The sequence below is a fragment of the Homo sapiens genome, chromosome 2 (assembly GCF_000001405.40).
Source record: "Homo sapiens chromosome 2, GRCh38.p14 Primary Assembly".
Classification (NCBI taxonomy): domain Eukaryota; kingdom Metazoa; phylum Chordata; class Mammalia; order Primates; family Hominidae; genus Homo; species Homo sapiens.
The window spans coordinates 52,105,276-52,132,189 of record NC_000002.12 but is presented as its reverse complement, the minus strand read 5'-3'; the positions used below and the strand labels follow the sequence as shown (position 1 = coordinate 52,132,189).

Sequence of the window (26,914 nt, the reverse complement as noted above, 5' to 3'; positions counted from 1 at the left end):
CACAAATTATGAGCATAAAGAATGAAGGATACCTTACATATGTTGAGGTATAAGAAAATATTACAACTTGTATCTGCTTATGACAACTTAGATGAAATAGATCAATTCCTTAAAAGATAAACTGCCAAAACTAACTCAAAAAGAAAATAACAGAATATTCCAAATCTGTTAAGTAAATTAAAATTTAAGCTTAAAATCTTTCAATAAAGTAAAACCCCAGAACTAGATATATTTATTCACAAATCCCACCACTCATTTAAGGGATAAGTAATAAACATTCTACAAAATAGGAGTTGATGGATCAATTTCCTGTGTGTTTTATGAGACCAGCATGAACCCCACATATCTGAGACAGGTCTCAGCTGATTTAGACAGTTTATTTTGCGAAGGGTGAGGATGTTTGCCGGTGACACAGCCTTAGGAGGTCCTGACAACATGTACCCAACGTGTTAAGAGCACAGTTTAGTTGTATACATTTTAGGGAGACATGAGACATCAATCAACATCTGTAAGATTAACATTGGTTCAGTCCAGAAAGACAGGACAACTCAAAGCAAAGGCAGGACAACTTGAAGCAGGGAGGGGGCTTCCAGGTCATAGGTAGGTAAGAGACAAATGGTTGCATTCTTCTGAGTTTCTGATTAGTCTCTCCAAAGGAGGCAATCAGATATGCATTTATCTCAGTGAGCAGAGGGGTAACTTTAAACAGAATGGGAGGCAGGTTTTCCCTAAGCAGTTCCCAGTTTGACTTTTTTCTGTAGTGATTTGGGGACCTCAAGATTTATTTTCCTTTCACATTTCCCCTGTATTCTTTTATAAAATCTTTTGGAGAAAGCATTTTAGAAGAAAATGAGTCTCTGATCTCGTGTTTCATCTGATCTCTCATGGCTAGGCTGGTTTATTACTAGGCAGGTAGGTCCTGAGTTATTATGAAAGCTCATTTTAGCAGGTTGTTAAGTCTTATGTCCTATGAAGAGAAGGAGGAAGGGAGAAAAAGACAACAAACAAAAGAATAATCCTCAAAAACCAATAAAGGCCACATTACTCTGAAGTTCACACATCAGAAGGTGGCTATGAAAGTGGCTTATGCATGTAAATAGGTTGTTGTTATTTTCTTCTAAAGTTTTCTAGCTTCAGTTCACAGGGCTTTAAGAATTTACTTTTAAAGACGAAAAATGCGATTACTTTTGCACCAACCTAATAACTACAGGTGTATTATAGCTTTTGAAACATAATACTTATCTCTCCAGTTTCCCATTTTTACTAAAGACAAATCATGGTAGGACTGATTTGCTTTATCATACTAGGCCTGATTATTTGTATATGTAGAAGCAAGAATAATTATTTTGTACATAGGCTTTTAAATTGGCTTTGATGTAATTTTGTTCCTTAGAAGGAATCTCAGATAAGACTTTTAAAAATCTGAGCTCAGCCATGGATTTGTACCATCGAATAACTATAAGCTGGGTAAATTCTTCTCCTCTTGAGGTCCCAAGATAAATTTGGGCCTCCTGGGCCTGTCAGAAAGTGACATTCTTTACTTAACACAAGTCAGGAATCCTGTACAGGGACTGTGTAGACAAGGTATGAGGCCGGTTATCCCAAGGGGCTTTTATTGGCTCCATAAGTCAAGTTTGATTCTTTAAAGGAAAGCACACGATGCGGGTGAAAGTCTTGGTAAAACAACCAGTTTCTCCAATTGTGTCCTGTTACAAATAAAAACAGATTCTTACTGAACTTATGCAAACAACTGTATTGCCATAAGTCACAAATAGTTTCCAAATTCTGGAGAAATCAGTTAGAGAGAAACAGATATGCTCCAAATTTTGTTCATAGGAGTATACTAACTTGTTAATACCTGTCAATGGCTCAAAAGAAAAGTTTTCTTGACTCTGAAAAAACACAACAAAACAAAGGATCAGCAATGTTTTAAGCTAAAAGTCAAAAAGATTACTTCAGTCTTCTATTAGTTCAGTCCATGCAGTTAATTCCTGTTCTGCTTGATATTCATGAACATTTCAGCTCTCCATGAGTCCTGAAAGTTTTTCCCCTATTCTGATTTCACAATATCCAAAGTTATCAGAAACCTGCATTCAGGAGCACCTGTTAGAGTTTTATAGTGGATTATAAAACCACCTTTCAAAGAGGAGCAAAACAAGACAACAATTGTCCATGGATGACAAGAAGTTTTAGGGCAGCCATAGTCAAAGACACAACTAACAAGGAAATTTTTTTCCCTCTGTGGCACAATAATTTAACATAATAATTATAAATTATAATTATTACTGATAAGTCATATCAATTACAGGAATTTCCCATGATTTTGGAACACATACCAATAACATATTTATACAAATACAGCCCAAAGAAAACTAAACACCATTTCATATTTGAAAATGTGTCCTGTATAATTTTTACACCAAATAAGCCAAATTATGTTATTTTTTGGACTTTAGGGAAACCAAAATCTTAAAGGATTAATTAGATCAGAAAAATACATAATTTATAATTTGGCTTTTGAAAGTCTGTCAAATATTAAAAGTTTAAAATACTTGATATCAGAGTTTACTATAAAATAAATCATTCATTGGACCAAAGTAATAAGTCACGGATTTCAAAAAACAGACAAAAGCCTTCCTTCTTTGAGAGAGGAGAATGTGAACTAGAATGTGTGAACTGCCTGTGAACTAGATGACCAAAGCCACAAGACTAGAAGTTACGATAATCTTACTAGGTTCAAGATGTAGCTATTTTCATTAAACAAATATCAATGTCATATTTATTAAAGATTATCCAAGCAAAAATCATTCTTCTTTGGGGTGGGTTTATATTTATGTAACTCCTATGCCAAATTTTGATACCTTATAATATTTAGCAGGGATAAGTATGAAATTGCCTGATTAATAAATGCAAATAAAAATGTATGCTGGCAATTCTTACAACATTTCTAATATTACATTACCAATAATTTTAAAGCTAGCTTATTTATTAAAGACTTTACTTAAGTTACATAAACTTGAAAAAATATTTGACAAGTCATTTCTTTTTTTCTTGATAAAGCATTTGATTCAAGTGCTTTTGTTTTCTTAAGCCAATTAATTAGAACTCTTTTACGTATTTTCAGTAAGGAAACATTGTGTACATAGACATATTAGGCATGCCAATAAAAGTTTATTGTGTAGGTTCATAAAAGCCTTTATTTTTCCTATGTTAGATTTTCAAATTCTTGATAACCTGTTTCACTACCCTAGTCAGTTGTCACCTAAATAGCCTTAAATTTGTATATTAAAGTAAATAACTCAGGTGAAAATCAAATAGCAAAATTTACATCATAAGGTATGGAGAGAAAAAGTCTGGTGTGCTAGAGAAAAACTAAAATGGATTTAATTGCCAATTAAACATAAAATTATAGACATTATAAAGGCCTTTTAAATACATACACACACACATATACATACACACAAAGATCCTATAGCTTTTACTTAAGAACCTTAAACATGAGATAAATACAAATTCAGCAGCTTGCAAATAAAAACCTTTTGAATTCAAACAGTGTTTTGTCTTAATAAAAAAAATAGTAGCAGATTTAAAGCAGACAGAAAAAAATAGAGAAAAAGAGAACTTAGTAACACTACAGTTTGCAGGATGGCCTTAGGGCCTATTTTCCCTTAATGTAAATGTGCATAAAGACCATATTACTTCCATTTTACATAAACTCTGGCAAGTAGAGGTGCCATAAAGTCTATGAAGTGCTTGAAAGGAGGTCGTTCTCCTTGTTTACTCTTCATTCTTATTTGTCTCCCACTTTTTTTCTTAAAAGGAGGAACTAAGCTGTGGCCTAGGGTTTTTGTGTGGTGGATTGTTGGGTGCTGCTTGTGGGCAGGAGTCCACAGTTTGTCACCACTGAGTTGTTTCCACCCTCTTACGTGTCTCAGTTTCTCTTTCCAGAGGTCTTTGACCTCTGAGACGGCTCATAACATCAGATGATTAGCCCTTATATGAATTTCCTGGATGAGCCTTTTAAAAAAAATATTTTTGTTGGGGATTTCTCAGTAGGGTTGCTGCATGTCATGGGGAATCAACCCCCCACACAATCCCACAAGCCCACTGATCACTCAGGGGTGCCTTTCAGCTAGGAGAAGCACAATGCCCTTTCTCTTTGGAGCTGAGAAAATTCGGTCACTCATTTACTTATGAAAACAACTGTTCAGTTCCTCAAACATGAATACAGACAAGCCAAATCAGGATTAATTTTGGGAAAAAGAGCAATAAAGAAGACCCTTTAGAATGCATCTCTGAACTAGAATTAGGATCCTTAAACAGGAAATTCCTAGGAGGAAAAAAAACAGCCAAGTAAACTTCCTATAAACTGTAAACTGTGCTCCTGTAAACCATGCTCAGCCACCCCTAACTGTGTAGCTCTCATCCACCATTACGCAAACCAAGGTCAAATCCTCTCACAGTACAAGGTCATCTCTGCTACCCTTAAAACCAAAGGGGTCAGGTCATGCAATAAAGAAAACAGAGCTTTAGACCTAAGAAGAATCTGCCCATGATTCTTGAAACTCCACAAAGAAAACAGAACACCTCAAAAGGGGTGAGTGGTGCTTTTGTTCTGAATTCTTTAAAGGGATTCAAGTTATTAGAACCCTTCTCTAGGTTTTTTTGGTACTGCAGATGGCAAAGGGGGAAGAAGGTATAGAGTGGAAAAAAAGTAAACAAAAGAACATTTTTTTTAAGACAGAAAGCACAGAAACCAAGCACAAGATTTATTTTTTATTTTTTCCTCTTTTGCAGCTGTGAGAAGCTTTAGCCTAATTAGAGAACCTTTGTTATCTATCCATAATTTGGAATTCTCACTTGGATTTGACCAAATCTAGTAGAACTAGAAAAAAAAGACTGGAACAGACAACAAAAACAAATTCCAACCATGTGATCACTGAGCACTCTAATGGTAAGAAGAAATAAAAATCAGCTGGTTGTTAAACTTCAGCCACAACCAAACCCCAATTCAACTATTTACTTAGGAATCAGTCTCAGGCTGAAGGCTGCTCTCTACCATCCTAGAGGCAGGAAAAAACTCAAACTCGTCTTCCCTGCTGGGAGCGAGCTCAAACTTCATAAAGGAGTTACCTGCCTTCCATCTACATGGAAGCAGGAAATCTTGCCTTCCTTGTTGGAAGCAAGTAAAACTCCAAAAAAGAAAAAAAAAAAAAGTGAGGTGGCAGCAAAGTAAACTTTAAATCTCGACTAAATTTTGGGAGATCAGGATTTTCTGGAGGGGATGCTCCCAGACCTCAGCAAATTTTCCTGTTGGTTAGAGCCATAAAAGCTAGTTCATGCTGGTACCAAGCACCGACAGGAGATTTTTGAAAGGTCAGGGGCATCTCCACTCAGAATCCCTCCATGGTTACCAAAATGTGAACCCTGAATATCTGAGACAGATCTCAGGTAACTTAGAAAGCTTATTTTGCAAAGGTTGAGGATGCGTGCCTGTGAAAGCCTCGGGAGGTCCTGATGACATGTGACCAAGGTGGTCAGAGCACAGTTTGGTTTTATACACTTTAGGAAGACATGAGACATTAATCAGCATATGTGAGATGAACATTGGTTAGGTCCGGAAAGGCAGCAAAACTTCAAGGAGAGGTGGGGCAACTTGAAGCAGGGAGGGGCTTCCAGGTCATAGGTAGGTAAGAGACAAATTGTTGCATTCTTTTGAGTTTCTGATTAGCCTCTCCAAAGGAAGCAATCAGATATGCATTTATCTCAGTGAGCAGAGGGGTGACTTTAAATAGAATTGGAGGCAGTTTTGCCCTAAGCAGTTCCCAGTTTGACTTTTCCCTTTAGCTTAGTGATTTGGGGGCCCCAAGATTTATTTTCCTTTCACATCAGCATTATCCTGATAGTAAACCAGTCAAACACATCACAAGAAAACTAATGAACGGTATGTCTATGAGCAAACAAATAACTACTTTCACAAAATATTATTGATATAAGAGTTAAGAAGAAATTACTTTGGCAGATAGTGAGGGTATGAGAGTCTTTGGTAAGGTTTTCCTTTTAATAAAAAGCAGCTCAAAAATCTTTTTTTTTTTTTTCCTAACAAAGAGTGGCCTGTAAAATCAAGCTGCAGACGTAGACAAGAATAGCTGGAAGCTTGGATGGGTGAATGCCAGCAGCCATGCCAATAGGAAAAGGCTACCTGGGTCTAGGCATGTTCAAAATGGTGGCTCCATCTTCCCTTCTCTTTGCCAGCCATGTGTACAGTAAGGAGCAGACAACCTAGCATCAGCCAAGTGAAAAGTCCATTTGCATAATACGGTTAGGGTGGGGTGGTCAGCTTCCCACACACTATATAAAGGTCACACCTGGTCCAACCAATCTGTGGGCCCTAAGTAAATCAGACACTGCCTCCTCAAGCCCGCTTATAAAATCTGGTGCACTTCAATGTGGGCTGGATTTTCCTTTTGGAACCCCCTCTCTCTTGGAAGGGAGAGAGATGCCCTCTTTTCTCTTTCTTTTGCCTGTTAAACCTCCGCTCCTAAACTAACTCCTTGTGTGTGTCCTTGTCCTTTAATCTTCTTGGCATGAGATGATGAACCCCAGGTATTTACTCCAGACAACAAGACCACTTCATTAGTAAAACAACTACAGCAATATATGTAAAAGAATCATACACCATGACAAAGTAAGGTTTATCTCAGAAATATAAGGCTGGTTTAATATTCAATAATCTATCACTATAAGTTATCTTATTAAAAGGGTGAAGTAGAAGACCAACACGTTCATCTCAATAGATGAAGAAAACTATTTTATTTAAGATATATTCAAGGCAAAATTTTTCAATGAACTAGAAACTAAATTCCCTCAACTAGGAATTGAATGGTCTCAAATTGAAAAAGTGTGTCTACAAAATAAACTTGTAGCTTATTTTATACTTAAAGAAAAAAGAATGAAATACTTTCTCCCTGAGTTCAGAAATAAGAATGCCCTCTCTTCATTTGTATTCAACCTCATATGGAAGTCTTAGCAAGGAGACTAAGGCAGGAAAAAGTAATAAAAGCATCATGATTGAAAAGGAAAGGCTATAATTGGCTCTACAAAGATATTATTGTCTACATAGAGAAATTTATAAAAATAACTACTAGATAAGATTAATTTTGTAGAATACAAATTGTGTAGAATACAAGGCTAATATTACAAAATCCTGGACAACTGGAAATGTAAATGTAAATGTGTGTGGGTAAATGCATATATATGCATAGGGGTAGAAAGGAGATGATCCATTTCCTCATTATAAAGGCTATGGCCAACACCCCTGTAATAAAAGACAGGTTAAAAACAGAAAAGCATAATAAATGTACTAATACACATAACCACAGGAGCCATACAAACAATATGAAAACTCAAAAAAGGGCCAGATGGTTGATACTTAGTTACCCCTTCACTGGGAAGAAGAAAGTGGGGAGGGGGTGCTATAAATGAATGAGCCTGAATACCAGACAGTGGTTTGCAAATGATGCCTTTTGGACAATGAATGGCTTGCAAGGACAGACAATAGCTTGTGGACAAATTATAGGTGAGAGACAGGTACACTGAGAACAGAGGTTGTCTTATTATGTACATACAGTCTTCCAGGTAATCTCTCATGCTCAGAAGACTAGAAGAGAAGTCTGTCTCCGTATGGTGTCCTTGGCATAGAGATTTTTAGTCTTTTGTCCTATGGTAAATCTTTCCTGGTTATTTAATGAGATTTCTAGGGAGGGAGTTACAAGACAATTGTATGTCTTTTAGGCATTTTCTCCGTCAAATAAGAAAACTTCCAGAAGCAGCCTCTCCCAGTGCGTTGGCAAAAAAAGAGGAACAGAAAGACAAGGAGATGGGGGAAGGTCAGAGAGAGACCTTGAGGCTTCTTCTTTAGTTCAGCATGTCAGAACACCATATTTGAGGTATTATTGTCTGAGTCCCAACTGTCTGTCTGTCTGTCTATCTATCTACATACATACACACACATATACATACACATTTAATTATCTAATGTAATAATTATAATTATAATTTAAATAACCCACCAAACACAAAATACTTATGTGAAAATACAACAAATATGTGTAGGATCTGTATGCTGAAAACTACAAACCATGATGAGAAAAGGCAAAGAATGACCAAATAAGAAAAGAGATATATCCTATCCTGGATGAAAAGAATCAACCCAATCCCACTCAAAATTGTAGCAGAATATTATGTAGATATTAATAAGCTTATTCTAAGATTAATATAACAAAGCAAATAGAAAAGCTAAAATAAACTGAAAAGGAGAATAAAGCTGAAGGATTTATATTACTCAAGTTTAATACTTAATAAAAAATTACAACAATCAAGACAGTATAACACTGGGGAAAGGAAAGATACATTGGTCAATGGTATAGAATACAGCCCAGAAATAGGTTCATGCTTAAATGAGTTTTGACAAAGTTGAAAAGCTGAATCAATGGAGACAGGATAGTCTTTTCAACAAATGTTGCTGAAAAAATAGGGCATCCATATCATAAAAATGAACCTCATTTCATAATTCACACTGCATCTCAAACTTAACTCAAAATGAGTTAAGTGTAAATCCTAAATATAAGTTGTAAAGTTATAAAACTTCTAGAAGGAAATACAGGATAAAATCTTTGTAAACTGGAATTAGAGTTAGGCAATGACTGAATCACAATCTATTAAAAGCTGATAAATCAAAAGTTGATAAATATTTTTGCTCTGTGACAAGCCATAAAACAGGAGAAGATATTTGCAAACATTTACCTGCTAGGTAACTCTTATCCAGAAAATTAGAAGAATATTGAAAACTTGATGTTAATAAAATATCTCTATTAAAAAATAGACAAAACAGTTGAGCAGATATTTCACCAAAAAGCTATTCCGATGACAAGTAAGATTTGCATTATGAATATAAATAGCATAAAATAAAACCTGACAATATCAACTGCTGGCAAGGCTGTAGAGCAAAGGTAACTATTATTTATCGCTCTTCGGTAAACAACATCTTATAGCCACTTTGAAAAAGGGTTTGGCAATGTTTTAGATTTAAACATACAGCTACTAATAGCTTAGCAATTCCATTCCCAGTTATTTACCCAAAATAAATGAAAACTTACTTTAAAAAAAAAAGCTTTATGTGTATGTTCACAGTAATTTTATTCAAAGTTGCCCAAACTAGAAACCATCCAAATGTCTTTTATCAGTTAAATGGATTTCTGATAGATGCATGCAACAGATTAGTACTCAGCAATACAAATGCACAAACTACTACAATAGGCAAACTGATGGGTAATTATGAAATGCATTATGCTAAGAAACAGAAGTAAGAATCAAAGATTACATTCTGTCTGATTCCGTGTATAAGAGATTCTAAAAATAATTATAATTATAGAACATTTAAAGGTCAGTTATTGCAAGGATGGGGGATGGGGATGAGTCACTACAGTGATATGAGAGAACTGTGAGGGGTGATGGAATTGCTTTATATCTTGATTATTGTGGTAGTTATGTCACTATATGACTTTTTCAAAATCATAAGAATTTACATCAAAAAGTGACTTATTGTATATTAACATGAATGAAATTAATAAAAAACTGATCTACATTTTAATGTTAAGAAGCTAAGAGAAGAAAAATTAATTCAAAATAAGTAGAAGGAAATCATAATAAATATAAGAGAAAAACAATGAATAGAAAAACAAAAGAAAATCAATCAAAAACAATCCAAAGCCTGATGTTTTAAAAGATTAATAAAACTGACAAAATGTTCAATGGACATTTTACAGTAAAATGAGATGGGAGGCGACAGAGAGAAGACAGAGAGAGAAAGAGAGAGAGAGAGACAGCATGAATACAAACACTGTTATGAGGAGTTAAATAGCGGCTATCACTACATAGCCTAGGGATATTAAAAGGATAAAAAACCAATATCATAAACAAGTTTATAATAATAAATGTAAAACACTAAAGTTATACCAATAGATTCAAAACATAATTCCTTGAAAGATACACTTTACTAAAGCTGACAGAAGAAACATAAAATATGAATAGCCCTAATTTACTGAGTAAATTAAATTCATAATTAAAAACTTTATTATAAAGAAAACTTCAGATGGATTCACAGGAGAATTTTATCAAACTTTTAATGAGAATATAATAATAATGATACTGTGCAGCATCTGTTAGAAAATAAAGGAGGTAACACTTCACAATTTATTTTATGAGGCTAACAACCCTGGTATCAAACTTGACTGTAGAATTAAAATAATATTATAGACCAATACCATTAATATAAATAGATTCCTTAATTCTTAAACATTATTATCATATCGAGTAGAGTTATATGTAAAAGAAATAAGAACAAGACATCACAACAAAATGAGGTTAACTTCAGGAATATAAGTTTAATTTAACATTCAAAATAATCTGAGTAATTCACCATAATAACAAAGTGAAGTTGAAATACCAAGTGATCATCTCAAATATTCAAAAACATTTTCAACAAAATTCAAAATCTTAGTTTGGATGTCATTGAACAGTTCAGTATTAAATATGTTATAGCTGTGACTTTTCCACAGATGTCTTTTATGTGATTTGGAAATTTTGCTTTTATATCTAGTGTTTTGAAAGGTTATATTATGAAAATGTATTCAATTAAATAAAAATATGACATTTGTATACCTCACAGCAGTGTGCCCTTATAGGTTAAAGAACAGCAGGGAGAAAAATAAATGCAAAGTTTATCAAAAGGTCTGCTTGAAATAAAGATTAGTGCTATCCAATAGAACTAACTTCCTGCAATGATGTAAATGTTGTATAGTAAGCACTGTTCAATAGGCTAGCTGCTAGCCATTGGGGATTACTGAGCCACTGAAATATACCTAATGAATTTAAGAAATGGAATTTCAAATTTTAATTTAATTGATTTAAATTCAATCCAATTTATTTTATTTTTTAGTGAGTAAAGATTGTGAAAATCAAAATATGTTTGTATTTATAATAAATTCCCTCAGAAATTGTTCATACCACATGTCACACTGTCAAATGTGGCCTTTGATCACCATGCTTCATATACCACTTATAATTTCTCTCTGTTTATAGACCACCATGAAATAGTAAAAAGAATAAATTAGATTTGCACACATATACATATATACCCACATGTAATACATGTAACTGCTGTTAGAGAAATATTAGATAATTTGTTTCTTTATGTTTAGCTGAACTTTTAAAAAATATTGGATTTGCTTTAGACAAAATAAAGGCAAGACATTATCTAAACTTTGCCTTATACAACACTTTGCTGATTCCAAGGTGCATCTATGTTCTTACTGATCTTACTAAAGAAAAATAAAATTTTATAAACAAAATCGCATTTCAAGAAAAGTGCTTGGTAAACCCCATATTTCTGCTATCAACACTTTTTGTTCCAGTAGAAGCTTCCTTTGGTAATCAAAAGTCAAATCAAAATCATCTGAACCTCTTTGTTTAGAAAGTAAATAAATCAACAATGTCATACTGTTACTACTTTTTATTTTAATTTTTCAGATTTTATTATAATATTTCCCCAAGTTGAAAACAGCATATCTGCAAAATCTGTAACATTTTCCCTTGCTTACTGCATAAAGCAAGTGAATGCTTCAAAATATATGCTGAGCAATCCCCAGATGCTTCCTTCAATGCATCCTATTTTGTAATATGTTTCAAAAAGGTCATCAGTCTACAAGAAAGAGAGAAAGCCTTCCTGATTTTCTTGTCTTGACTTGGCATTAGCAGTCACACTGTCAAATGTGGCCTTTGGAGAGAGTTTTAACCTAGTAGAAAACAGGCAGTGCAGATGGAGCCTGTATGGAGGAAGTCATTTGATGAGGATGTCTGAAACAGAAAAGAAATCTTTTCTCTGCCTACTTCTCTGAAAGATTCTTTACATGTCAATTTTTTACTTTCATTTAGAAAAATAATTAACAATGAAGTGAATATATTCATTCGGCAATTACAGTCATTATGCAAATGCATAAATTTAAAATAATGAGAACTTACCTCTTGCTTTAGTCTACTCTATTGTTCATTAATTTGAGGGTGATAAAAAAAGGAAGCATTGGAATAGCAAAAAAGACAAGCCGAACATTCAGGTTTGCATTCTCTGTCCTCTGTTCATATTAAAAATGAGATCATCACCATTTTGAAAACCTTGGTTTTGAAAAAATATTATATAAAATAGATAAGTGGTGAGTATTATCAGGGAAATTATGTCTGTGTAAAGCTGATACCTTGATGAACAATTTTTTTGTTTGCTTGTCTTCAGTTTGTTTGCTTCAATAATGCAAGTGTTTCTCTTTTTTTTTCTAAATAGTTTTTTTTTTCTTCTCAACTTTTATCTAAATAGGTTTTTATTCTTAGATTTGGTATTAAAGCTCATAAACATATTTTACAATATTTTTTCTTCTCTTCTGTATATATTACATTTACAAAAATATAAAATTGATAATATACTGATGAGAGTAGATATAGGAGAGAATGGGCAGAGAGAAAAGGAAAGAGTAAGTATTGACAACTCTTATGAAGAGTTATGCTGTAAAGGTGAGCAAATTAGTGAGACTAGAATGAGATTATGAGATCTTTATTTTAAATGTTGGGACTCTATACTGTGTTTAATATTAATGCGAATAATAAAGTAGAAAGTAAAAGAATTACACTAAAGGTGAGATGAGGGAGGAACAAGGTCCTGGAGAAGGCGAGTGTGGATAGATCCTATCTACAGATACTGCTGCAAAAATGGAGGATTTGATTCTAGATAGTCGCATGACACAGCTTCTTCATTTAAACAGAGAGAAGGTTAAAATATGTGCGCTCAGATTCGTGTTGGCTGACAGATGTACAATGTTAATTATGTTGAGGTACTATGCAGATAAACAGCAGTGTTGAAGAGAGTAGAAGAAATACTGGAGGTTTTCAGAAAGGGAGAGATGTCAAATAATGTTAAAGAATGTGACATTGAAATGATTAGCATTATATGGAACCCCTGTAGGCATTTTTGTAGGTTTATTTGGAGTTTCCTTCTCATAAATCCAATGAATCTCTTGTCAGGGACAACAATTTTTCCATGTTGGCCAATTGACAGTCTTTGTTCATTATTCATCCTTTCATGCCATGCTAAATAAAATCAAAACCATTACATGGCCTTACATATATATCGTTTGTCTTGGTTTACTTCACTAGCACACCCTTCCCTATTATTTACATGGGTTTCTCACCCTTGTTAGTCAGTTCTATCTTCTAATGTTCCTTTATCAGAAGTCTGTAACTGACTGGTATGAAATAGCACCTTTCCTCAAAACTTCAATCTTTATCCCATTTCTTAATGCTATTTTTTTCCTTCTTTCATTATTACTGTCTGGTATGACAGTGATATATGACTGTATATGACATACACTTTTCTTAAGTAATTTGTTTATTACCAGTCTTCTACACTAGAATGTAGATAAACGAGGGAAGGGAATTTCTTTCATTTATTAATGTATTTCCCAAAGCTGAAAGCTGTACTTTACAAATAGTAGGTCTCAAATATTCTTGTTGAATGAATAAATTTTATCATAAATCCTCAACGTTTCTCTATTACAATGCATAATTACTTTGCAAACAAAAGTTATTTGGGTCTGATTTTATTTTTATGTCTACACTATATAGCTATATACTATTACAGTGTGATTTATTACATTTTATTAAAAGAGAGCTTGTATAAAATGTGCTTAGTAGGAGCTTGAAAAGCATCAGTTGGATGGATTGTTGATATTATACTTTCTTTACCATTGTTCTCACTTATTGTAAAAGGATAATTTTTTTCTGATCTACTTTGGCAAAGGTTTCATGAGCCACTTGAATAACTATTGTGATGTTATTGATCTTATCTATTTATACATGCTTGGAATTTTTCAATTTATGAAATTGTATTTGTATATTAACTTCTCATAAATGTTTGTATTTGGAAACATCAGTATCTCCAGAGGTGTTGGTAGCAGGCGGTAAATTTTGTATCATTGCATGTAGTATTAGTAGTAGTTATTCTTCATGGGAAAAACTAATATAAAACCACATGTGAGCTAAAGTATCTATTCTACTGCCAGGCTTCAATATGTGTATGACATTTTCTGTGCACTGAGAAGGGAAAGGGTTGAGTGAATTAATCAATTAATAGATGCTTGTTGAATGAAAGAGCAAAAATACTATAGGTTTTACCTGGTAAAAATTCTATAGAGTTACTTTCTCCCTCCAACAGAATTTGGCATAATTAAATATTATACTATAACTTTCTCTGATTAAAATAAAGTTTACCAAGAACTAATTCTATTTCTTGTTCTTTATGTTTGTAATAACTCTTTTTTGTGTTTTAATGCTATCTGTATTATTCAACTTTAGAAATGGCTTATTTTGAATTTTACTAGCATATAGCTTAAAATATGTTGCATATTATTATGTGATAACAAGTTGGAATTTATCTTTTTTCAAACTTTAAGCTAAGGAATAGCTTCCTTTTTATAATTTTTCAAGAACATAACTAGCTTGTTCTTGTTAAGAACTGTGAAAAGGCTGAGACTTTACCCTACTTACAAGCTAACAAGTTAGCCTGCAACAGGCTTTCAAAAGAACCATGAGTCAGAGATGAAGGAGAGAATATCACTCATAGAAATTGCATCAGACTATCAGTATTTTTGTGCCAGTTTCCTATGCCCTAATTCTCACAAGGCAACTCAAAAGAGGGACAAACGACACCTACACATGCAATGAGTTACATTATAGAAGACGAATCCCAAGATTAAGAAATAAAAACTTTTATAACGGGCAGTAAGCATACCTGCCCTTTGCCCAGAGGGAGACACCATCTCTGTCTTCCAAGGCTGTAATCAAATCTGGCTTTAGCTTTGGAGAAATACATTATTTCTGTCTTCTAAGACTGTTTACTATACAAATATAGTAAAGTATTTTAAAATGTCACTCAACTATAGGCAGCCACTGCCTCTCTTCCAAGTTCTGGAGACAGACATAAGAGATTCATGAAAAATTGTTTCCCAAGAGTTCTTTAAGCATGCTAGTCAATATCCCCAAGTGTAGCCTGGGCATGTTGTGATTCTGCATGTATGAGAATTTGCTTCCTGGACTTTTAAATATCAAACATTCTGCCTAGTTTACAAATCAAAGTTCACAAAAAGTTTAAGAGAAAATTGTCTACTCTCCATTGTGGTTACTATTTAGAAATAACTTGGTTGATTCAAGTATCTTAAAGAAAAATTGTTTATTACTGTTTTTTTGCAAACGCTGGGTTCTTCTGCTGACACAAGAAAGCAGATATGGGCTTTTGCAGATACCCAGATCTAACAACAAAACTGATGATTGTAAATCTGAACTTGCTCATTTGAACTTAATTGAATTAAGTCACTGGTCTGAAATAGAGAAATCCATAATGTATTCTAGAATTTGCATCATTGGACTTATTAAAAAAATCTATAGAGTCAAATGAAATAATGTATTCATATTAAGATATTAAATAATCAACTCTCCACATTTGGATGGAAACCACTATGTTTTGAGGCCACTAAGCACCAAAGTATGGCATTGATCTTTTGTTCCCTTGGTGGCTGACTCGTTTGTCTGTAATTTTCTTTGACATCTTAAGAATCTTTAAAAATAGAGAAATTGTCCCTTCAGAGGACAATGAAGACCAAAGTTTGATGATGTGTGTAATGTGTTTTCAGTATCTACTGTGGTACATTGAACTATATTATCATTCTGATGACAATAATGAAAGAAAAATGGGTACAACTTCAGCGTACATTTTTACAAGGCACATTGTTTTGTTTTTTTAATGTTTCATCTCTTTTTTATTACATCTCTTTCATTTCATTTTATTTATTACATTATTTATTTCTTTATCTTTTATAATATAACAGCAAGATTATCATCAGCTTCGCTTTGGAGAAAAAAACTATGTGTTATATAGGGGTTAAGAACAAAGCATAGAGGGGTTAAGATGCATATCCAATGTCAAACAACCAGAAAGGAGTAAAATGACAGTCTGCTTATAGAAAGCACTACCTTAACCTCCATGCTCTTGTCACAGAAGAGCAAAAATTTCGATTGATGGCCTCCAGGTGTGCTAAAAAAAAATTCAGCTTGACAACCAGACACACTTTTTCAGAGCAATGCAAGACATAATTATGATAAAGTAATTGTCCCTGAATTACTGGATATCTCAATGCTATACAGTCATTTTTGTGGCAGAATCTGGAAAAAATTAAGCACTGTCTATTTAATCTGTCACAGGGATCATGTTTCATTAAAGTACACTTGATGTCAGTTACTATGGTAGGAATACTTTCTAACAGATTGAACTGTGGTTTCAGCTAATTTTAATGAAACTCATTCTAAATAAATCCAAACTCCTAAAGCATAAATTAGGAGATGATGAATTAGCTCATAAAAAAGATTCTTACTTTATCAAACCACTTACTAGAAGGTTACACTAAGTGGATGGCTCTCCTCTTAGCTTTAGAGTAAACTTGATTTCACTTAGTAATATAGACACAGCAGATTTTGCAAAATGTGGCATATGTGTTTCATTTTCTAAATGATTAGATTCACAACGTGGTTGGCTAGCCCTTGAAAACATTTGTATAAACCCCTAATTTTACATCTCAACAAAACTACAAAGTTAAATATCAGAAAGTCACTTCTGTATTCTTACCGATTGTTTCTCCCTGAAGAATCTATCAATTACTGAAACAATTGATTTAATGTAATTATAGGCATACAATTTTATATATTTTGTAAATTGGCTGCATATAACTGTAGAATTGTTATAACTTACTATAAACTGGTGTTTAAACTTTTTATTATGATGAAGTTACTCTCTTCTTCCCTAGTAATACTTTTTTTCTTCAGTGTCAACTTATCTATTTGCATTGTTCCACCATTGTTTTTGTTGTTGTTAATTTTTCCCTGCTTGTAGCTTTTCTACACCACTATATTTCCTTCTGTGTCTGGCAAAAACATATGTTAAGATAAGAATTATAATATTGCCATTTACAGTCTTGTCAATCTATATCTTCTGACAGGATAGTTTAGCCCAATTGAGAAAAACTACTGATATTCTAATTTTAAAAAATTCAATTCTATCATTTATTTGTATATTCCTTTATTACTTATTTTGGGTTGCAATTTTTAAAAATGCTTAAATTAAAATGTTAACTTTCATATAAAATGTATAATTCAATTATGATTATAACTTCAAAGTAAAACATTGCATTTCTAATGAGTTATTATATAAATATGCTTGCTTTTTTGTGATAGTCTTTTTAAAATTTCACTCTGCATGAAAAATGTCCTCATCCTCTACTCTTTTTATTTTTTCAAAAACTAATAAGCCTACCTAAGATTTGAATCTGATCATTTTAATATTTGCAGCCAATTTGGGTTGATTTTTGTGCAATTTATTTTCTTGCTCTTGTTGATTGTATGTCTTCCTATGACGCCTCTGGCTCTGCTTCTGTATACAGCCAAAACTGAAATGAGAAGTTTTCTAACACTCTTCCTCAGAGGTATATATTACTTTATATGTCACTGAAAGTGATTGCTGTTCCAGGATCTTGTATTCTATTGGAGTCTCAAATTTGCCTTTCTAACTATCTCATACCTAGGCTTACTTTTCATTTCTTTTATGTGACTCATTAAATCTGAAACTGTAAGCAAATATACACACATAATTTGTTGACCTCATGACATATTTACCTAGGTCTGTTTTTTTGTTTAATTATGTTAGCAAATTTATTACTCTAATGTTGATAAGAAGTTACCTAGCATACTTAAAGAGTACCTCAGAATCTCACATCCCAGTTCAGATGATTGTCCTTTTAAATCACCTATTCACGTTATAATATGGTTTTTCAAATCAGGGAGATTGTGAAAGTCAATTATTCCACTTCCTTGGAAGAGAGGAGAAACCTTGAACCATTTTGCCTTATTCTTACTCTGATGATGCTGGGGAATAAAAGAGCATCATTATTCTCTGAACAGCTTTATCTCTACTTACTTTGTTCTGCTTTATGATACTGCTTGCATTGTTACAGTAAACCGTAATTAAATGTTCTTATAAATGTGCTTAATATTTTATGTTTATAAAGATTGTCTAACTAGATGATAAACTTAATGACAAAAGTGATGAGAGTGCTACATCTTCTTACAGTCCCCAAGATCATGACTTACAGATTTGGGATACTTAACAAATACTTGTAGCTAATGCACATATTCTATTTTTATAATTCAACATACCTAAAGACTATATCACTTATTGTCTTCTAAAATAAAGTCAAGCTATTCGGTCTTCTTCACACTATTCAAATATCAGCGTTGCTACTATTTCACTAGTTTCTAATTTTTTCAAATTTTTTTAGTATGTAGAAATTATAAGAGACTTCATACTCCAATAAGTATAGCAGTATGCCAAGTGCAACAAAAAGATTATTTTCTGGCTCTTGGTCATTGAATTCCTGTCATACATTTTATAATCTTGTTAACATTGTACAACAGCATGGCTGATTGACAAGATATTGTTGGTCAGTGGCCCAAAATGTGTTAGTAGTATACTTTGGTCAGATGAGTCATTTTCTATACTGACATTTTCTTCTGTCACTATCCACCACACACACATAAACACACAGATTTATGGTAAATAGCACATCTCTGTTCTGAGACTGGTGAATGAGACCAGTAAAAGAAACAAAAATGAACTACTGGAGTGACAGAATCAAAAACAAAAAAAAAAAAATGTGGTTTTAAGGAGGTTAAGAGAGAACTGAATTTTGAACAGATACTGTAAGACAATTCAAATACATTTACTAGGATGAGATTTAAGCACATGTCATTTTAAATTGTTGTTTAGTGGCCTCATTTATAGCCATTTTTTGGCATACTGAGGTAGAAAATAAAATAGCCATTAGTTGGATACTAAATGCTAAATGGAAATTATGGTAGAGTACTATGTCAAGATATTTGGCTAAAGAAAATAAAATGCTTCAAGGAAAAGCATCATTGCTAAAGATTTTTTTAAAATTGCATTTGTTGACCTAGGAAAAAGATCCAAAAGGCAGATAAAAAATGAAGATTGGAAAGACACGATTAATGAGGCATTCTAAAAGCATGTGAAGGCGTTGGATCCATGGCATATGAGGAGGGACTATGACTAGAAAGAATAAAAATATCATTCCCTTGGAAAAGTAGAACAGGTGTCATCAGAGATATTGTTTTTCAGATAGAATTTGAAGAAATGTATGAGAGAATAATATGAAAATTTTTATTTTTAAAAATTTTTAAGCAGCTTCATCTGCTAAAACTGAAGGGTAAACATGTTGTATAAGGAACATCTTGCCAAAACATCTAGAAAAATGGACAAATATTTTCAGATACAAAACATCCAGAAAACAAGAAAATAATTTCAGATATTGGACAGCACTGCTTTCTCATGTTGAGAGAAAGCAAACAAACAAGTTGAGTCCCTGTATTGCCCTGGCATTGCACATTCTGGATCTCTGATGAGGGTGGAATTCTCCAAGCACAGAATTAACCCACAGGGTTGTAGAGATAGTGATTAGGGTATTTAAGGAGTCTGTGATTTGTAGAACAGTGTTAGGAGAAGAGGAAGCTATGCAGACATTAAGCCCTAGAAATGTGCATAAGGATCCTTTTGAGTAATTGCTGAATACTACGATGTGCCAAGTAAAACTCAATTGGGTTGGATAAACAATGACCAGCAAATATTATGTTGAATGGTTTCTAAATTTTACCCAAAGTTGGGAAACATTAAATTTTCAGTCACCCAGACTGGAGAGTTTTTGTTGATCGTCAGGCATATGCAATCCAGACTATAGAAGGAAACCACCACAGTGGTGGAGCTTAACTACCACTAAAGAACTGCCTTTACAGAGCTTTTGGTTGTTGGGTTTTTTTGGTCGTTGTTGTTGTTTGTTTTTGTTTTTGTTTTTAGATAGGGCCTTGCTTTGTTGCCCAGGTTGGAGTGTAGTGGCACGCTCTCAGCTCACTGCAGCCTCAACTTCCCAGGTTCAAGTGATCTTCCCATCTCAGCCTCCCAGGTAGCTGGAACCACAGTCGTGTACCACCATACCTGGCTCATTTTTTATATTTTTTGTGGAGATGGGGTTTCACCATGTTGCCCAGGCTGGTCTCGAACTCCTGAGCTCAAGTGATTTGCCTGCTTTGGCCTCAGAAAGTGCTGGGATTACAGGCAATGAGCCACCATACCTGGCCCCTAACAGAGTTTAAAAACAGACTTCAAAAGCAGATTGAGTCCCATATAGCTTGACAGCCTGCCAGGATAAAATTGAAACTCTTAGAATGAAGTCAATAAAACCCAGATATTCAACAAGATAAAGTTCTAAATATCAAATTTACACAAAAAATTACCAGGCATTCCAAAAAGCAAGAAAACGTGACTCATTGCCAAGAGAAAAACTATTCAATAAAACCAGATCTTATGATGACAGGATTAGCAGACAAAGATGTTGTGGTAGTAATTATAACTTCAAGTGTTTAAAGGCAAATAATGAGGAGAAATATGGAAGATATAAAAAAGCTAAAAGGACCTCTCAATATAAAAACTAAAATCTTAAATAGCTGGTTTGAATTAAAAGCACATTAGACACTCTAGATAAATAAAACAATGTCCAGTACTCTAATATATGTGCAAATAAAGTCTCTGAATGACATAGGGAGTAGAAAAATATTTGAAAAAATAGTTCCCAAATATTTTCCAAATTTTTTTTTTTTTTTTTTTTGAGACAGAGTCTCGCTCTGTTGCCCAGGCAGGAGCACAGTGGCATGATCTTGGCTCACTGCAAGCTCCACCTCCCGGGTTCATGCCATTCTCTTGCCTCAGCCTCCTGAGTAGCTGGGACTATAGGCGCCTGCCACCATGCCCGGCTAATTTTTTGTATTTTTAGTAGAGACGGGGTTTCACCGTGTTAGCCAGGATGGTCTCGATCTCCTGACCTCGTGATTCACCCACCTCAGCCTCCCAAAGTGCTGGGATTACAGGCATGAGCCACCACAGCCGGCCTTTCCAAATTTATATGTGAACTGTTAACCCAGAGATTCAGTACCTCACTGAGCTCTACTGACTAAATGCAAAGAAAATAACAAAAAACACACAATAATAAAATAGATAAATATCTGTAATTTTTTAAAAAAATCATAAACCACTAAGAGAAGAAGGAAACATTTTATATAGCAGAACAAAAAAGACATTTTTGTAGTCCAGATTATTGAAAAACATCTTTAAAGATGTTTAAGGTAAACAAAAACAAATAAAAAATTTATAGTAAGTTGACAGAGCATAATTATAAAAATGTAATTCTATACACAGCCAAATTATTCAAAAATAAAGGTAAAACAAATTTTTACAAAAGAAGATGAAATAATTTATAACCATTAGACCTATGCTAAAAATATGTTAAAGGAAGTTCTTCAATCAATGGAAAATGATACTAAATATAAATGTGGATATTAAGAAATGAATAAAGAATAAAAAAAGATAAACGTAGTATATGCAATGACAATTTCCACTTAAAAATAGAGAATTATCATTTATAAGCCAATAGTTGACCTAAAATGAAATTTTTAAATATGCTGAGTATCTTTTTGAAAATCATAGAGAAAGGAAAAACAGAAAAGGACAGAAGGGGAAAACAGCCTACATATTAATTTGCTAGGACTGCCATAATAAATACCACAGACTAGGTGACTTAAACAACAGAAATTTATATTCTTGCAATTCTAGAGGCTGAAACTTCAAAAAGAAGGGGCCAGCAGAATTGATTGCTTCTGAGGCCTCTCTCTGTGGCTTACATATGGCCACCCTCTTGCTATGTCCTCACATTGCCTTTTCTTTGTGTGTGCATGGACTGAGTGTCTCTTCCTCTTCTTAGGAGAACACCACCCCTATTGGATTAGGGCCTCAACCTATGACATCACTTAATCTTAATTAGCTCTTTCCTTTCTTTTTTCTTTCTTTCTTTTTTTTTTTGAGACGGAGTCTCGCTCTGTCGCCCAGGCTGCAGTGCAGTGGCGCAGTCTCAGCTCGCTGCAAGCTCCCGCTCCTGGGTTCACGCCATTGTCCTGCCTCAGCCTCCAGAGTAGCTGGGACTACAGGCGCCCGCCACCACACCCGGCTAATTTTTTTTTGTTTTTTTTGTATTTTTAGTAGAGACGGGGTTTCACCGTGTTAGCCAGGATGGTCTCGATCTGACCTCGTGATCCGCCTGCCTCGGCCTCGCAAAGTGCTGAGATTACGGGCGTGAGCCACCGCGCCCGGCCAGCTCTTTACTTTCAGTTTCCAAATTCAGTCACATTGGAGGCTGTGGCTTCAACATGTAAATTTTCAGGAATACCAATTTAGTTTATAACACTGTATAATTAGAGTGTAAGTTTAAGGCAAATCTTAATAATTATTAAAGAAAATAATATTACACTACATCATTGTTAGTTATTAGTGATATTAAGCACTACAATTAAAGGCATAGACCTGACACTGGACAAAGAGAAATAGTAACTATATGCCATCTTCAAGAAAGTTGGTTTAAATAGAATACCAATTCTATATATTTTTGCAGCCAATGCAAAAATTTTAAAATATATGAAACAAAAATGAATAAAATCTAATAACAAAATAGAGAAATCTACAAACATAGTTGAACACACTGATATTTATGTATCAATAACTGATAGAATGAGCAGGTAAGTTAATAATAAATAGAAATGTTTTACAATATATCATATGCCATAGCCAATTCACATTTATTGAGCACTTCAACCAACTATGGAAAAAAGCAAATTGTTTACATTCACATTGATTTTTCTGTAAGAAAAAATGTTTTCTAGGCCACAAAATGAATACAGATCAATTTAAAATAATTAAAATAATACATAATGTAATCTCTGATAACATTGGAATTAAATAGAAAACATTAACAGTAAAATATATAGAAACCTGCAAGTATTTGAAAATTAAATAACAGAATCTTAAAGAGAAGGAAAATTAGAAAATAGGATCAAAATGAAAATGCAACACTTTTTTGTAATAGAATTAAAGTACTGCTTAGAGAAGAAAAATTTGGCTTTATATACTTATATTTTTTAAAAAAAGATTAACATTCAAGATAACAGGCATGAAGAACTCCCCTGACCCACTTTCCAGTAAAACAAGCAAAACTGGTGAATACTACTTTTTAAAAAACTAACAATTTAAAGTCTCTGGAAACGTTTTAAAAGCATGATCCAAATAAAGACACATTATTTCCAGAAACTCTGCTAAATATCAGTAAGAACAATGAGAATGCATGAGCCATGACCTATTCTCCCTGACTTTCCCAGGCTGGCTTGATAAAGGCTCCAAGTGAGTGGAAATAATCAAGAAGATGGGGGCTCTCTTCCCTCTCAGTCCTTAGGAAAGCTTACTGTATCTCACTGGGTGGGATGGGTTATCAATATTCCTCATCCCTTCAATTCCATATTGAAGAGGCCACATTCCTAGTGAATGTGGTCAAGAGGTTGAAGGCTACTTTCCTCTACCCAGCTTCTAACCATAGAGTATAGAATCTATCCCAATTGGAATGGACTGAAAATCTTGGAGTCTTGGTGTCCATCACTCCAGGTTGCTCTTAGAGCAGAGGTCCAACACCATAAAAGGCAAAATGAGAAGATCAGAGGGTACCTCACTGCTTAGGGACCAGAGTAGTGTCTCAGAGAGGTTGCCAGGGAGAAAAGCAGTTCATAAGCAAAGGGAATGTCAAGGTTTTCCCTAAATAACTCGATTAGTGTTGAAACATGCTGTGGGAAGTTCAAGTCTAGGCATGTTCTCAAAAACAATACCCCTTGTTTTGTAAAAGTAATCAGGTAAACCATATGCCACCTAGTTAACCAGAGAGAACTAGGGGAAGCGCCAGTGAAAAAGAGCCCTCCTGAGGACAGAACAAATTCAAAGACTGGTCTTAAAAACTATCCCTGTACAAACATAATTTTATCATACTGCTGAAAAATTTATACCCTGGTGTACTGTAGAAAATAAAGCAATCAGCTGGTAATTAGCAGAGCTTAGTGTGCATGGTGTACTATCAATTTTGATACATAGCTTTATTGGGAGATCATAAAAAAGAGACACTCAGAAAAATCCTGCTAAAACCACTGTCCTTCTAGGGTAACTGTGTGTATGCCAAAGGCTGCACCCTCTGAGAGGTAACACCAAAGATGTCACACTATGAGGGAAATAGAATTTAATAAAATTGTTTAGGGAAATCAAAAAACAAGGAGCAAAACAATAAAAATGAGCCAAGAGAGTAGGAGATAAATTAGTATCCAGAGTTGTTGCAATACATTATTTAAATGTTTCATTTTTAACAAAAAAGTTGATAATCCATAAGGAAATAGAATTGTGTGACTCATACACAGAAAAAAATCAAGCTACAAAAAATGCAAGTAGAGAGGCCAAGTAAAATTAACAGAGAAAAGAATAAAAGAATCGTTATAAATAATTTTTAAAAAGTAAGAAAAAAACATGCTGATATGGTTTGGCTGTGCTGCCACCTGAAATCTCATCTTGAATTGTAATACCCATAATCCCCGTAATGCCCATGTGTCAAGTTCAGGAAAAGTTAGAGGTAATCGGATCATGAAGGCAGTTTACCCTATGCTGTTCTCATGATAGTGACTCTCATGAGATCTGATGGTTTTATAACCATCTGGCATTTCCCCTGCTTGCACTCACTCTATCCTGCCACCCTGTGAAGAAAGTCTCTGCTTCACCTTTGCCTTCCGTCGTAACTGTAAGTTTCGTGAGGCCTCCCTAGCTATGTGAAACTGTGAGTCAATTAAACCTCTTTCCTTTGTAAATTACCCAGTCTCGGGTATTTCTTCATACCAGTGTGAGAACAGACTAATACATATGATTTAGCAAACTTTAAAGATGCAAACAGATTAAAAATAAAATATAGAAAGCAATACATGATTCAAAGAGCAACCATATGAAAGCTAAAGTATTAACTTTAAGAAAGCTAAGTATTAAAATTTAAACTAAACTATTATCAGACAAAATAATTTAAAACAAACAAAATTTACCAGAAAAGTAATTGACAAATGCTGAAAGTTGTGTGAAGAACTCTGGGAATTAAAAACTTCAGTGAGAACAAGTTATGGGGACTGGGGGCACATTTGTCAGCTTCACCTCCAGGAGCTCTACTAGGTTCTTACAGTGAATATTGCAAAAATAATATCTTTATGCTTCCAGCAGGGGGAAAAGAAAAGGAATTATTTTCAGATATGCCAGGGCACTCTGTTCTTTTTAACAAGATCTGCCCTCAGGAGAAGTTACTTAACCAGACCCTGAGGTGCTGAGGTTTCCTCAGAACCTAACTGACCTGGGGAAAGGGAAATAATTCCAGATCCATCTAGCCTTCCACAAGGAATAAGAACACCCAACTGCAGACCACTGTAGCCATCCTGTCCCAACCAAGGGGCATGGTGTGGAGTGATGAGAAACTCAGAAGCACATATGAAACTCACACTCCAGAAGTATAGGCTCACTAAAAGTCATATATCTAATAATAAGGCTATAGAACATGTCCGTTACCTCCACCACACACCTTTTAAAAGGAGGAAAAAAAAGAAAAAAAAAACCCCAAATTGAAAAAGACACAGAAAGCTTCAAAAACCAACTTAGGTATTGCAGGAATGTAGAAATTATCAGACTAGGAATTAAAGCAACTATGAACTAAAGAAGACCACATATGAGAACAGATGGATAAAAAAATCCAAGCATATAAGAACAGATGGATAAAGAGATAGATAAAAACAGTTTTAAAAGAACCAAAAATAAATGCTAGAGATCAGAAACTATAACGGAAGTAAAGAATGCCTATGATGAGATCATTAGAAGACTGGACATGGCTGAGGAAATGATCTCTGAGTTTGATGATATCTCAATATAAAATTCCAAAATTAAGCAAACCAAAAAAAAAAGGCAAAAAAAGCCACAGATATCCACAAACTGTGGCATAACTACAGAAGATGTGGCATAACTACAGAAGATGTATCATAAACATAGTGAGAATATTAGAAGAAGAGAGAAAGAAATAGAAAAAGTATTTGAAACATTAACAACTGAAAATTTCCCCAAATTAATGTCAGAAGCCAAACCACAGATCCAAGGAACTTAGAGAGCAGCAATCTGGATAAGTGTCAAAAAAACTATACCTATGCATATTATTGTCAAACTATAAAAATCAATAATAAAAAATAAATTCCTGGAAGAAGACAGAGGTGGGGAAAAATGCCATCTCTATAGAGGAGCAAAGATAATAATTACACCCATCTTCTCTTCAGAAGCAATAAAAGCAGAAGAGAGTGGACTGAAATGTTTAAAGTGTTGAAATAAAAATCCACCAATCCAGAATTCTGTACCCTTCAGTTACCCTTCACAAGTAAAAGGTGTGTGGTGGAGGTAACGGACATGTTCTATAGCCTTATTATTAGATATATGACTTTTAGTGAGCCTATACTTCTGGAGTGTGAGTTTCACATGTGCTTCTGAGTTTCTCATCACTCCACACCATGCCCCTTGGTTGGGACAGGATGGCTACAGTGGAAATAAAAACTTTCTCAGACAAAGAAATATTTAAGGAATTGGTATGCATGTAAATATGCTTTGCAAAATGTTAAAATACTTTTTTTGTGTGTTGCTAGGATTACAGGCGTGAGCCACCATTCCCAGCCTATTGTGTCTTTGGAAGGTTTTGATATGAGGATAATACTGGTTCCA

General features: G+C 34.0%; 1 long non-coding RNA gene across 1 annotated transcript in view; it reads right to left on the bottom strand.

Annotated features, from left to right (window-relative positions):
• NRXN1-DT (NRXN1 divergent transcript) overlaps positions 1-26,914 on the bottom strand; it is a 1,375,317-nt gene that overhangs the window by 275,728 nt on the left and 1,072,675 nt on the right. The gene's annotated exons all lie outside the window — the stretch shown is intronic.